Source organism: Homo sapiens, chromosome 5 (assembly GCF_000001405.40).
Source record: "Homo sapiens chromosome 5, GRCh38.p14 Primary Assembly".
In the NCBI taxonomy this organism is placed as follows: Eukaryota; Metazoa; Chordata; class Mammalia; order Primates; family Hominidae; genus Homo; species Homo sapiens.
In genome coordinates, this window is record NC_000005.10 from 153,886,743 (window position 1) to 153,901,907 (window position 15,165).

The 15,165-nt window shown below is 42.4% G+C and overlaps 1 long non-coding RNA gene across 1 annotated transcript; it reads right to left on the reverse strand.

The window, feature by feature from the left end:
- Positions 1-685: 685 nt before the first annotated feature.
- On the reverse strand, positions 686-12,245 carry LINC01861 (long intergenic non-protein coding RNA 1861). Its single transcript, NR_146729.1, has 4 exons — positions 12,164-12,245; positions 11,445-11,618; positions 8,799-9,043; positions 686-721 (listed from the first exon to the last, which is right to left on the reverse strand). It is a non-coding gene; the product is annotated as a long intergenic non-protein coding RNA 1861 (long non-coding RNA).
- Positions 12,246-15,165: the final 2,920 nt, after the last annotated feature.

Genomic DNA, 15,165 nt, shown 5'->3' on the forward strand with positions numbered 1-15,165 from the left:
AGGAGAAACGGAATGAGTCTGATTCCCTGCTCCTAATTGCCATCTCAGGGCCTGCATTCACCACTATTCTCTCTCCTGCCTGATGAATTTCCCAGTTCAGCACCAAGGATACAGTTGATTTCTCCGGAGAACTATAATAATGAAATTACAGTATGTTTACTTGATGCAGAAAACCTCTGGATAGATAGTAAATTAGTGGCCTCACAATGTTGAAAAATCTTCAAGCTTTCAAGAGGCCTAAACAGATCCAAAATGCCAGGTTCAAGTCACACCAATAATTAAAATTAAATTATCGTGCTGAACTGAAAGTCATCTCCAATATAACATTTTTAAAATGGTTCTCCAAAGAAGAACTCTATCTTGGCTTCAGGGAGGCATCTATCATAAACCCACAGAATCAGAAACAAAAAAAGCAAGCTGCGTCCATTGTGCACGTGCTACAGCTAATTCCCCAGGACAGGCAAGAACAGAGAGGCTTGGAGGGGCATACAAAAACACCCATTGCTGGGGAGAGGCAATAAAAATGAGGAGCAAACCTGATATTTGTATGTTACTCTTTACATCCATCTTCTCAATTTGTCCAGTCACTGTCTCTGCAAAGTAGGAAAGGCAGAGATTTTTGGTCCCATTACACAGCTGAGGAAACTGAGGCTTCAGTGGTATAGTGGCTGGAGTCAAGACACATGGCCAGTAAGTGGTACGGATGGGATGAATGTTCATCCTAGAGTAAAGGAAAGATAGGGAGAATGGAAAGAAGTAGAAAAAAAGGAAATTGGCATGCCTGTCCTAATAGCAGATGATATAAAATTTAAACACAAAAGACATATTTGGGACAACTCAGCAAATTCACACAAAGAGTAGTTATTAAAATTATGCTTGTGCCTATGCACTCTTGAAAGATGCTTATGATGTTATTATACTGCTAGTGACATAAAAATACTTACCGTTAGCCAAAAATTTACCATGGGCTAAAGACCTGTCTAAACACTTTATATGAATTAATAATCCTCCATTTAAACCTTATAAAAACTTTACAAGGTAGAAGCTGTCATTTTATGTCGAGAAACCCAAGTTCAGAGAAGTAGGTTATTTGTGAAACACACACAACTAGTGAGTCTAGGTCTGATGGCCAAGCTCAAACCCCTAGTCACTTCAACATGCTGTCTTCCTAGAGACCTGGTGGAAAGAGGAGAGCATTAGTTGCACCAAGCTATAGCAAATGGATGAATCCATATAAACCAAGGATTAAAGTGAATGCACACAGTTCCTGTGTGCCCCAGCAGGCACCCTTATTGAGCTAATGAAATGGTAACTTCTGTTATTTACTTGACAAATATTTATTAAGCACCGACTATGTGTCAAGCCCTGTGCTAACCCTGGGAATATAGCAGTAAGTACATCAATAAAACTCTCTGACCTCATGAAACTTTCACAGGGTACAGGAGCAGATGAAAACAAAACAAGTGACATAAATATTATGTTAGCTGGTACCAAATGCTGCAGAGAAAATTTAAGCAGGAATGGGAAATGGGAAGCAATTTTTAAAAACAGGATGCCCAGGAAAGGCCTCACTGAGAAAGGTGATCTTTGGGTAATATCTTGAAGCAGATGATGCAGTGAGCTGTGTTTATATCTAGGGAAAGAACATTCTAGATAAAAGGAGAGCAAGAGCAAAGCCTCTGCAGTGGGAACAATACAGAAGAGCAGGTGGCTGGAATGGAGTTTTGTAGGAAATGAGATCAGAGGCCATGGGGCCAGGAGATGTGGGGCCCAACGGGCCATTATTAGGACTTGGGCTGTGAGTGAGATGGGAGCCATTGGAGGTTTCACAGAGGAGTGACAAGATCTAAGATCCAACTCATCTTTATATGATAACTCTGGCTGCCATTTAGACAACAGACTCAGTGGGCAAGGGTGAGAGTGGGGAGGCCAGTAGGGAGGTGAGAGGTGATGACGGCTCATTACTAATGATTATTACAATATGAGCATGATTCTTTACTTTTTACCAGTACCTTCATATAAATTATTTCACTTAATCTCCATTTAAATAAAGAAACGGAGGCTATGGCTTGTTGAAGTGACTTGCTATGTGGTTTGCTTAAGTCCTTCAGCAAGTTAGTGGCAGAGCTGAATCTTAAATCTGGAATGTTTTTACTTCTCATGCAGTTCTCAAGTCTCATCTGATCTTCACCTCCCACCCAATTGCCTTGCCTCTCTGACTTCTGTGGGCTCAGATGATCTCCAATCGACCATCATGGCCAGCCACAGAGCCTGACTATAAATATCACTGATAAGTATCTGGTAACCAGCAGACAGGCGGCAGAACCCACACATAACAGGGAATAGAATCCAACAAAAGGAAAAGTCATCATCAAGCTCTGTCCTCACAAGGGCATGAGCCTCCTGAACAACGCGTAACAGGAAAGGAGGGCAGGGGGCTCTTAGAATGTCAACTGATGTTTATTCAGCAGTTCTGTGTGCTCAGAACAATATTAGATGCCATTTGAGAGAAAGGAAGGAAGAAAATTGTCTGCTGTCAGGGAGATTATAATTCAGTGGGGAAAGAAGACACACACTTGTGGGTAGGAAAGACAACGCAACTGAGCAGGAGATGAGGTGTCACACACAGACCGAGAGCTCAGGGTTTCAGAGCCCAAGGAGTTCTGTGAAGGTTGAAGAGATTAGACAAGCCTCCAGGGAAAGGGAGGAAAAAATCTTGAGAAAGAAAACTTCTGGATCCTTTCCAAAGGTAGTCACCAAATTCTATAATCTGAGTGTTTCTAACCATCTCAGGAAAGCCTTCAAACATCGCTTATAGTCTTGGTATGTCATACAGCCTTAGTGGGTCTATTTTTACTTTCCACATTGCTTTGCCCCTTTGAGGGTCCCAAACCTACATGCCACCAGAAGAGGGATTTTAATCATGAAGGCCAAGAAACTGAAGCCAAGCAAGGCTCCTTACAAGATGGCCAATAGGTAATTTAAAACGTCCAAGCTAGGAAGGTCTCTAGTGGCTGTCTAGTCCAGGCGTCAGTAAACTATGGCCCACAGGCTGGCCTGTTGTTTTATAAACAGTTTTATTAAAACACAGCCATGCCCTTTCATTGACATATTATCTATGGCTGCTTTCACACTAGAACAGCAGAGATCAGTCATTGCAGCAGAGACTGCATGGCCCTCAGAGCCTAAAATTATTTGTTCTCTGGCCATTTAGGAAACACTTGCTGACCCCTGTTCTAGTTCAACTCCTTTATTCTAGAGGCATGAAAACAGAGGCCCAGAGAAGTTAAGAAAATTGGCTAAGGTTATTGGATGAGTTCAAGTGTTGTCCAGCCTAGAATAGGAAAAGTAATGTGAGAATTTGTCATCCTTCATTCATTTGGTTATTCACTCAACAATTGTTTTATCAACACCATGGGCCAGGCACTGGGTAAGAATACTGAAGTGCATAGTACAGATAAAGCTCCTGCCCTCAGGGTTCCTGTCTGAGGGAGGAGGGGAAGGACATTTTAAAAAGTGAAGAAAATAACTACAAAGTATGCAGACTGCTATAAAAGAAATTAACAGAGGGATGGGACAGGATGTAACTTGGGGAAGAGAGGGAAATATTTTAGACAGGGAATCAGGAAAGACCTTTCTGAGGAGGTGATGTTAGAACTGGGCAGTGAGTGATAAAAGCCATGAAGAGCAGGTGGAAGGGCATTCATGCAGAGGGAATAGCAACTGCAAAGTCTCTGAGGCAGGAACAAGCTTGAAATGTACAGGGAACAGCAGGAAGGTACATATGGCCAGAGAAGGATAAAAAAGGACAAGAGTGGTATGAAGTGAGGGCAGAGGTGAGCAAGTGCCTGTAGGTGGTGGCAACTATCTCCTGAGCATATTTTCACTGCAGTTACATCATCACCATCATTTTCATCATCCCCATAATGAGGTTCTAGGAAGCCCAGGAAGGGAACATGTGGTACCTGTATTTGCCTGCTATAGAAAGCAGTGCTGGGTATAGTTCCCTCCTAGCCAGGGGCTGCATAGCACTTTTAGTGATTGTAAGGGCATATTTCACCTTCCTCAGACCACAAGACAGACAGCCCACTAGTTAGTCATTTGGAGTCTTCTACACCTGGATTTGAATCCCGACTCTTCCTGACCTTGCACAAGTAGCTTACGTGTTTCTGAGCCTTCAGTAAATGGAGGCAATTGTACCTACTTCCTGGGGTTGTGAGAAGAATTAGATAAGACAAAGTGGGTAGAGCTCAGCCTTTGCTCAGTGCCTGGTACATGCTCAACAATTTGATAAGTATTTATTATTATTAGTGGGATACACGCTGGTAGAACTTGCCACTGTATCTCAATATTTGTGTGCCAAAGACACACAAATTTCTCACTGCTGTCAAGTTGTCAAATGCATGGGTAGAAGAACCAAATTCCAGAGAAGCCAAATGACCAACCCAAGGCAATTAAGGAGAAGGGTCGCATGATGACTCAGCCCTTCAGTGCCCACCCAGCTGCTCACTACATTTCACCAACACAGCAGCCTCAGTTATACTTTGACCATTCACCTCCAAGCAAATACCACTGTACTTTGAAAACAAGGGTGGGAAGGGACCAAAGAAGTCCTTTGAACAGTCCTGCAGCATTCAAAAGAGTCCGTATTATGTACCTGCTATATATCATGGGTACAAAGATGAATGGTCCATGCTCACTGTACCCTTGAGGAATTCACAGGCTTGTAGAGAAGACAGTTATAAAATTATAATCTTGAGGGCCATCTGCCTACCAAATGAAACAATTTACTCAGCTCAGGGAGTCAGGGACAGGAACCAGAGAGAAAGTGACACCTGAGCTGACTCTTGAAAGGTATTGAGTAAACCAGGAGATTGGCTTGGCTGAGCAGAGAGTGATAAGACTGAAAAGCACAGCTCATGGAGGGTCTGAACCCCTGAACCAAGGAGCTTGGCTTGATGGGCAAAAATGAGGCATGGAGCAGGGAATAACCTGCTCAGAGTGACATTTGGCAAGGTCACTCTGGGTGCAGGCTACAAGGATGTGAGGGAGCAGGACCAGAAACAGAACAACCAGTTTTGAGCCTACCTTGCAAGTCCAGGCAAGAAGCAACAAAGACCTGAGCTATAACCATAAGGGAGGGCAAAGAAAGAAGAGACTGATTCTGGAGCCTCTGGTGAGGAGAATCTGAACCATGTAGTGACAGTGGGATGCTAAGACAAAGAAGAGAGAGAAGGGGCAACTGCTGCGCTGGGTCTGCCTTTCACCAAGGGGGGAAATTGAGAGAAAGTGTAGGCAGGAGCAGGGAAGGAAGGCAGAGTTCATCACAGAAAAAGAAGTAATCGAGCATAGTGCTTTCCAATTGTGTATCTTTTTTCTTTTTTCTTGGTGATAATACTTTCAAACTTCTGTGACAAAAACCAGATGAAATGAGAGATGCCACATGTGAAGGGAAGGAAGGAACAGAGGCCATTCCTCTCCTCACAGACCCCAGAGAAATGAGAGCCATTCAACTCCTTGGATCTTTGATCTGATGAAGTCGAGGCTGAGTTCTTAAGACCAGGTGAATGCAGTTTGAAAATTACTGCTGTAAAGAAAAAAACAAATCATCCCATTAAAAAGTGGGCAACTGATATGAATAGATATTTCTCAAAAGAAGATATACAAATGACAAAAAAAAGTATGAAAAGATGCTCAAAATTACTAATCATTAGGGAAATGCAAATTAAAACCACAATGAGACACCACCTCACTCCAGCCAGAATGGCCATTATTAAAAAGGCAAAAAACAATAGATGTTGGCATAGACGTGGATGTGGTGAATATGGAATGCTTATACACTGCTGGTGGAAATGTATACTAGTACAACTGGAAAACAGTGCAGAGATTTCTCAAAGAAATAAAAGCAGATCTAACATTCCATCCAGCAATTCCACTACCGTGTATCTATCCAAAGGAAAAGAAGTCATCATATCAAAAAGACACCAGTACACATATGTTTATTGCAGCACAATTTACGGTTGCAAAGATATGGAACCAGCCTAAGTGCCCATCAACTGATGAGTAGATAAAGAAAATGTAGGTCAGCCGCGGTGGCTCACACCTGCAATCCCAGCACTTTGGGAGGTTGAGGCGGGCAGATTGCTTGATCTCAGGAGTTCAAGACCAGCCTGGGCAACATGGTGAGACCCCCATCTCTACCAAAAATACAAAAAAAAAAAATTAGCCGCATGTGGTGCCATGCACCTGTAGTCCCAGCTACTCAGGAGGCTGAGGTGGGAGGATCTCTTGGGCCCAAGAGGCAGAGGTTGCAGTGAGCTGAGATTGCACCACTGCACTCCAGCCTGGGTGACAGAGCAAGGCCTTGTCTCAAAAAACAGAAAGAAATAAAAAAGAAAATATGGTATATACACACCATGGAATACTATTCGGCCATACAGAAGAATGAATTAATATCCTTTGCAGCAATCTGGAGCTAGCGGCTATTATTCTAAGTGAATAACTCAGGAATGGAAAATCAAATACCGCACGTTTTCACTTATAAGTGAGAGCTAAGCTATGGGTACACAAAGGCAAACAGAGTGGTATAATGGACACTGGAGTCTCAGAAGCCAGGATTTGGAAAGTGGGTGAGGGATAAAAACTACATAGTGGGTACAAGGTACGCTACTCAGGTGATGGGTGCACTAAAATCTTAGGCTTCACCATCATACAATTCATCCATGAAACCAAAAACCACTTGTACCCTTAAAGCTTTTGAAATGTTTAAAAAGAAAAAGAAGGGAAAAGTAAGCTTGTGGTGTGTGAGCCCACAGGAGGCCGCAGAGGACAGGGCCAGGAGCCAAGAGCAATTGCAGCAAATCCAGACTAGAACCAGGTCTTTGAGAGCATTTTCCACCCTCCACTACCCAATAGCATATAGTCCATCTTCTATCCCTCCTCACAAAATTATGAAAGTGGTAAGACCCAAATCTACATTACAAAAGAGGCCAGAGCTTTGGCCCTCTCTGCCCCATCTCTGTAGTGCTTCTGTTCCTGAACAGGACCTTACCAGCCTTTCCCTTCTTCTCCCCCAGGCCCACCTTGTTGACTGAAACCACCCCAGATCCCACAACAGCCTAGACCCCTCCGTCGGCCCAGCCACCCCAGCACAAACAGCATGAGAGTTGCTGCTGTGTCTCTGCTACCACTATGCCAGGCTGCCTTTCTGTTTTCCCTGGGCCTGATTATCTTAAGCTACCTCTGGGGCCCCACCCGGCTGGGCCCAGTGTTATCTCCTATGCACAGTCATCGTCTTGCTAAAAGGCAATCAGAGGAGCTGACTTTAATAAATGTTAACACCCTCAATGTGAAGTCTGGCAATTAAAACTCCTCTCCAGGACCTCTGAAACAGGCCTGTGGAAAATCCCCCATCTTAATAAGCTCCAATCATCAGAGGACGCTGAGAGAAAGCAGGGATAAGGAGAAGTCACTGAAATTTTCAAAGGGGAGGGAAGCAACCAGGAAAGGCACCTTCCTCCATTTCTCATCCCTCCCTCTGAGGATCCCACTCCAGGCCAATTTCATCCAACAGGCCTGAGAAGCAAACAGAGGCTGATCAGGAAGGCCTTAAGGGTCATCTTGTTCAGTGGTGTTTAGATTTTTGGTGCATTAGACTCACCTGGAGGGCCCCTTAAAACACAGATTGCCAGGGTTTAGTTTCTGATTCAGTGGGTCTGGGGTAGGGCCTGAGAATTTGCATGTCTAGCAAGTACTCAAGTGCTGCTGCCACTAATGGTCCAGGGACCACAGTTTGAGAACCACTGATCTAGCTCAATATCATCATATTACAGATGGTGAAACTAGGCCCAGAGAGATAGGAACTTGCTCAAGATCTCATATCTAGTTAGTGCACCCCATTTGAAAGGATCAAAGCAAATCTCTTGAGAGCAATTCCCAATTGTATGTTTTAAATTTTTTTCTCCATAGAATTTTAAACATTGGGTTTATTAACAGTCATCACCACGGTCATCATTATCCTGAAATGAGATCTTTGAAATCAAAGGAAGAAATAGTTGGTAGTTAGCATGCCAAGTAACAGGACAGCCTGCCTCATCAATACACAGGAAGCCAAATTGGAAAAGAGTTCTCCTAAGTGAGTTCTTTGACAAGATTTCCTTTCTTTCTCCTTCCTTTAGATCAGATTAGAGGCAGGTTAGATTAGATTTAGGTCCAGATTGGATTTCAGGGCCCTTAGACATCACTTAGTCCCCTGATCACCCAAACAAAAAAACATGCCATCATATTATTCTTATCACTTATCAGTGTCTGGAATTCATACTTACTTGTGTTCTTGCTTCCCACAATCTCCTCCACTAAAACCTATGTTCATGAGAGCATGGACATTCTCAGGGCCTGGCATTTACAAGCTTTTAATAATTATTTGTTGATTAATTAACTGAGAACCATATTAGCTAGGAAAGGATTCATTAATCTGATGAATTTATTGACATTTGGCAGGGATTTGAGTCCTGAGGCCATAGTCCGAGAAAGATGTGATCAGGTAGAAGGCAGGAAAGTTACCCTGGCACCAAGATCCCAAGAAGCAGCAGAAAAAAATGTTGCCACAATGGAAAAGAGATTCTAAGGGCCAATCCCAGCCACTGTCCCTTACCCCCGCAACACACACACAAGCTCTCACACATATTTTCACACATGCCCCACACTCTGCCTCCCAAGAAAAACAGCTTAGCAGCTGAGCTATCCAAATCACACCATAAAGATCCCAGACAGGGGAAAAGATCATCCACTATAATTACCATGTAGGAGCTTTCATATGGCACCCTGCTAAAAGCAGGGAAGCAAGACGGATCAGAACAGACAGCTTATTAAATTATCCAGTGCATCAACTCAATGAACACTTCCAAATGGTTTTCTTTTCCTCTTTTTTTCTATCCATGAGTTTTTAATGTTTGCTCTCCTTTCTCCACTGTTTAGGATTCCCGTTAGGTGTTCAGATCACTGCTTTCCTTCTGCCGGCTGCTGTCTCTTATCATCCACCTTCCTGAATCATTCACATAGAGTGGGAGATACAGCATGTCATGTTGCAGACTGGACCCAGCTTTTGAAGTTAGAAGACCCACGTTTGATCGTGGTTCTTCTGTGTGATCCTGGGCATGCTATGAATTTGCCTGAGCTGTGGATTCCTCAAAGGTAACATAAGGGTGATAGCACAACTCAGTTTGGGGCAGAGATTAGAGGGGATGACATATAGCAGCCCACTTTCCAAACTGCCAAAAGAGGAACAGGTGTGAGCTGCCAGGACCATGTCAGGATGGATTTTTGGCCTTTGTCTAAGGCACAAAATCATTTGGCAAGTGCTAGGAAGAGGTCCTCTGCCTCCAGATAGTGCTACAGAAATGCACTACACAAGAGCTTTCAATTTGATTAACAAATATCCACCTTGAAAATGCAAATAGACAGGTGAAAAAAATGCATCTGTCTACCTTCCAGTCATCCTCATTTTAGTGTGAATCTGATTAAAAGCATTCCTTTCCATGAAAGGGCTAGATGAGCCCTGCCTGGATGAAAGAATGAATCATCTGGTAGAGTTTGGGCAATCAGGAAGGAAATGTTCAAGCCTGGGAATACTACGAAAGTGAGTTTGTTAGAATCCGGGTGGCTATAAAGAGAAGTTAAATTCTCTAAGCCCCAGTTTCCTCATCTGTAAAATGAGGGTAATAGTACCTACCTAGAGTCATTATTAGAATTAAATAAGGTAAAGTATGAACCACTTAGTGTGAGCATAGCACAAAAAAGAACTTAGTGAAACTTAACTACCACTACAGTTACTAAGAGTGGTATCATTATTATAATAACATTTATTTTTATTACTACTTCTACTAGCTGTCAATAAGCAGCATATGGCCCTCTGAACCTTGCTTGGAAAGATGCCCATCTTTCAAAGCCTCTTTTGTATCATTAATCTATTGCTGTTTAATAAAGCACCTCAAACTTGATGGCCTAAAACAACCATCATTTATTTTGCTCATGAATCTGTAATTTAGGCAGGACCTAGGGGAATGGCTTACTTCTGCTATATATGGCATCAGCTGGGGTAGTTCATCTGAAGACTAGAGGATCTAGTTTCAAGATCACTCACTTACACTGCTTAAAAAAAATGGTGCTACCTCTTGGCTGGGAACTCAGCCAGGGATATTGGTTTCAGTTCCTCTTAATCAGTTGTTTGGGCTTCTAAACAGCATGGTGACTGAGTTGCAAGAGGGAGCTTCTCAATAAAATAAAAGAACATGGCATTTTTATGACTTAGCCTCAGAAGTCACATTATGTCCCTTCCTCTGTACTCTGTCTGTCCAGGCAATCACAAAGATGCACCCATGTTCAAGGGGAGGGGACACAGACCCTACCTCTTCATGTAGGAGTGTTAAGATTGTAGAAAAAACATGTGGGATGGAAAATATTTTTGCAGCCTTCTTTAGAAAATATAATCTGCCATACCTCTCAGGAAAGTCTTCCTGAATTCTTCACCCTCACCAGTTACATGACCTCCTTTGGTGTCCAACTTTCTTTTACCACTCACATTACCCTGAAATGTTCAGCACTGTCTTTCTGTTTTTCCAATATCCAAAATAAATGGCATGGAGATGGTGGCAGAAAAAGGAAATAGAGATGCTTTACAATTTGATCTTGCTATCACTGTTTGGACACAGACAGCTCTGGAATATAATTTTATTCATTTAGAACTTTTCAACCTCTCAATTTCCTCATCTATGAAACAAGGAATAATAGTGATGACACCTCAATGAATTTTTTGAGAAAATCATATTAAGCACATCTAACTTCATGAAGCACGTAACTTACATTAGTAAACCTGGCTTTTAAGAGTTAGCACAAAAATATTAGCTATTATGATACCACTAAGTTGGAATTTGCGACAATTCATACAGAAAATAGATTTTTCTTACCCTAAGAATGTCCTGTGTTGTAACTAGTGAAAATTAAAGGTGGAGAAAATGTCAGGGAATGAAGCAGAGAGGAAAGATATCTTAAATATTTATGGCACGGCTCTTTTAAGCCTTTCACATGGAGGAGGTGGGGCTTGTACGGCATCCTCTAAGCTGAGTCCATTTTGGAGAGGTAGTGGAAGTGGGGAAGAGCATGAATGAGTAGAGAAAACTGGGCCAGTGTGAAGGGTCTGAAGGAGTCGCATCAAGCAGAGAGTGCCCTGTCTCGCCCAGCCAGACGACACAAAGCAGAAGATGGCATTTCAGATGCCCTCCAGCTCAGCAAGTCTCTACTCCTCCATTCGCAGAGGTTCTTTGTCACAAAGAGAACCTCCTAAGCCACAAAAGGAACTTAATGGAAAGATGCTGGAATGTTCAAGAAAGGAGGTGGGCTGGCTCCAGGGGTCTAGGCAGCAGGGAAGGCTGTGTGGGCCTTCTTACCAGAACATTGCCATGGAATGGGATTTGGCTCCAGAGACCACTATGATCAGAGTCTTTCCACTCCAAGTTTCCAATTCCCAGTGTCTTACCCTGGGTTAATCAGCTATGGCAAGGGAAGCAGGATCCGACAGTATGGGAGTGGCTGCTGTTAGCTCATCCGACATAAAGAGACAACTGTAGAGAAAGAAAACGAGGCAGAATTGACACAGAGAGGCAGCAGTGGGCAGGGAGCCCTTACATAGTGAAGGTCCTGGCCAGGTCCTCCTCCTCCCTCTCCATTGTCACAAAAACTGCCCTGCACTGGGTGGCGCAATGGAGTTCCAGAGAATTTAATAAGCAAAATGTGTTTATTATTCATCTATCACGTGCCAGACAGTGTGTTTAGCACTACAGATACAGAAATGAATGGACACTCCATTTCACAGCACAGGAGTACTTAGTGGTTAAGAGCCCCCAACTGGGAATGACAAAGATCAGGGTTCAAATTCCAGTTCTACCCCTTATGCATTGTGTAAATTTGGCCCTGTCTCCTCAAGCTACAGTGAAGACTGGCTAATAATTGTGCCTACCTTACAGGTCATTATAGTTCATCACAAGGATTTAACAAGAGAAGGTAGACAGTCCTCATGAGATGCCTTACACCTAGCGAGCACTGCATATACTTGGCTGTAACTCCGACTGTAACAAAAAAAAAAAAAGGACTTCCCTGCCAACTTTACCTGTCAGTGCTAGAAGAGACTGTATATTCTTATTCCAGGGTATAGGCAGATGTCCTGCCCAGTGGGATCCAGCCCCACAAACATCAGAATCACCTAGGAAACCAGTCAACAATGCAGCCCCCAGCCTTGCTCCCAGATTGTCTGATTCAGGACATCAGGAGAAAGGTCTGGAATCTACATTTAAAGCTTCCCCTCACAATCTAAGTGATTTTAATACATAATTATTATGAGTACCAGTGTTCTAGACTAGAAAATCCTCTTACTTGAAGGCAAGGAAACTGACAATGATGGAAAGAAAACAATTCGACTTAAGATCTCACAATGAGAATTACTGGGCAAATTAGTTTTCTATTGTTGTGTAACAAATTACCACAGACTTAGTGGCTTAAAACAGTACGGTAAAACTATTTTTTCCTAGTTTCTGTAGATCAGAAGTCTAGGCATAAGATGGCTGAGCCCTCTGCTGTTTGGTCCCAAAAGGCTTAAATTAAGGTGTTGGGCTGCCATCCTTTCTACAGCTCAAGGATCCCCTTTCAAGCTCTCATGGTTGTACGCAGAATTCCATTTCTTGGGGTTATAGGACTAAGGGCTCTGTTTCATGCTGGCTATCAGCCAGGGGTCACTCTTAACTCCTAGAGGCACTCTCCGGCCTTTCCATGTGGCCCCCTCCATCTCTAAAAGCCAGCAATGGAGAATCTTCTCACATTGAATCCTCCCCATGCTTTGAATCTCTCACTTTTCCCATCTTTAACCTCTAGTCTCAGATGTAAAGGGCCGATATGTAGTTAGGTGAGGCCCAACCATTTGATTAACTCAAAGTCAACCAGTTACTACCCTTTATAACAGCTACACAATTGCTGTATGCCATAACATAACCCTGGGAGTGACAGCCTGTGATAATCACAAGTTTTGCCTACATTCAAGGGAAGGAGGTTTTACAAGGGTGAGGGTCATGGGAGGTCATTTTAGAATTCTGCCTACTACACTGGGAATATAATCTAAAACTCAGACAAAACACAGCTTGTCAGTCATGCAGAAGTCACCACCCCTCACATTACAGCAATAGCTTCCTAACCTCTAAATCAACATTTGTACCTCCAAACCAAATAATACAAGAAAAGTTCATCGATGTAAAATGTAGCTTATAACTGTTATTTCAAGGCATTGTAAGCACATAGGTTGTCGATGTATTGAACAGGCACTTTCTTTGGTGTATCTCGGTGAAAAAATTGACAGTCGAGCTTACTCACCAACCCTTGCCTGTGTCCAACAAACACAACTGAAATGGAACTTAAACTGACCATCGTAACCAACCACTCACAAAATCAAGTGCTCAAACAGAAACAGATGGGAATGACAAAGGAACCTAACCTAGTACAGGTTGAGTTTATTTTGTCTGAAATGCTTAAGACCAGGAGCATTGCAAATTTTGGATTTTTTTAATTTTGAAATGTTCACATTATACTTACCAGTTTCCCTAATCTGAAAATGCTCCTGTGAACATATCCTTTGAGCATCATGTCAGAATTCCGTAAGTTTTGAATTTTGGAGCATTTCAGATTTCAGATTTTTGAAGTAAGGATACTCCATCTGTACCTCCTATGTACTTAGCACAATCTTTGTACATTATCTCATTTAAGAGTTAAGACAGTCTCATGAAATAGACATTATTATTCCTATTATAAATAAAGAAAATGAGATCTTTGGGAAAAAAAAATACAGGTAGCAAGAGGTAGTACCAGGATTAAACCTAGGTCAGGTCAGTCTAACTTCAAACTACATATTCTATCCACAGATCCAATATTAATAAATGTTGGTTATCTTCTCTATTACCTCAATCATACAATATATTTTTAAGACAAACAAAAAATCTCCACCAGCAAAACAAGACAGTGTCCCTCATGCAGTCTTAAAAAATAAGAACTACATTTTGTTCCTGCCCTAAGTAAAACTAAATCTTTCCAACAGTGTCAGATGTATTACTAATTACACAATTACATTATGCAGTCGTGCTTGTAATAAAATTCTTGGAGTGCTTTTAGCAAATTCAACTTTGGAGAAAATAACGACTTCCTTTAGAATTATTTACTAAATTAAGCAATTCTTTACTCAACATTGTTTTTAATAATTCAAGTACAGGATGTTTTATTATGAACATTTTCTAAAACAAGTTTAAAAATAATTCCATTCTTATGAGTATGAGCATGGTTGTTCCAAGAAGGTATTTTTAAAAAATATTTAATATTCCTGTTCTGCCAGACAGTGAAAGATTTTTCACATTTTCCATGATTATTTCAACTGGAATGCATCTCCCTCCTGCCCCCAGGGCTGACAGAGTTGGGGAAGAAAAGCCACAATTTCATTTATATCACTCAGCAGGTTACCACAGATGTTTGCAAGTTCTTTGGAGGAGGGGAAAATAAAGATGTCATGACAGAAGTTTTTCTCCCTTTTCCAAAGACAGTTAAAACTTTCCCCATCCCATGCGGTCTTCTGCAATGTGATTTTGCCCCCCCAATCCCCACCCACCCATCAGCAAGTGACATCTACTTGATCTCCTAGAATCTTGGTGGGCCTGTGACTACAAGGACCAGAAGAATATGGTAGAAGTGGTTTCAGTTCTGGAATCAACCCTCAACCAGTCAGGTGGCTTCTGCTTCCTTTTTTGGACCACTCAATTTTGCGATGCTCCCTCTGAGAAGCCAGCCAACATGCTGTGACATGCACAACCACACGGAGAGACCCTGTGGAGGCACTCTTGGCAACTGCCAGCTTCAACTGTCAGTCATGGGAGGCAACCATCTTGGATGCCCAGCCCAGTGGAGCCTTCAGGTGACTGCATCCCAGCCACCATCTGACTGCAACCTCACCAGCAAGCCCACAGGAGATCCACCTAGCTGAGCCCAATCAACCCACAGAAACATGAAAGAAGATAAATTGCGGCTTTGAGTCACTGAAATTTGGGGACATTTATTATGGAGCAATAGATAACCAGATACCCC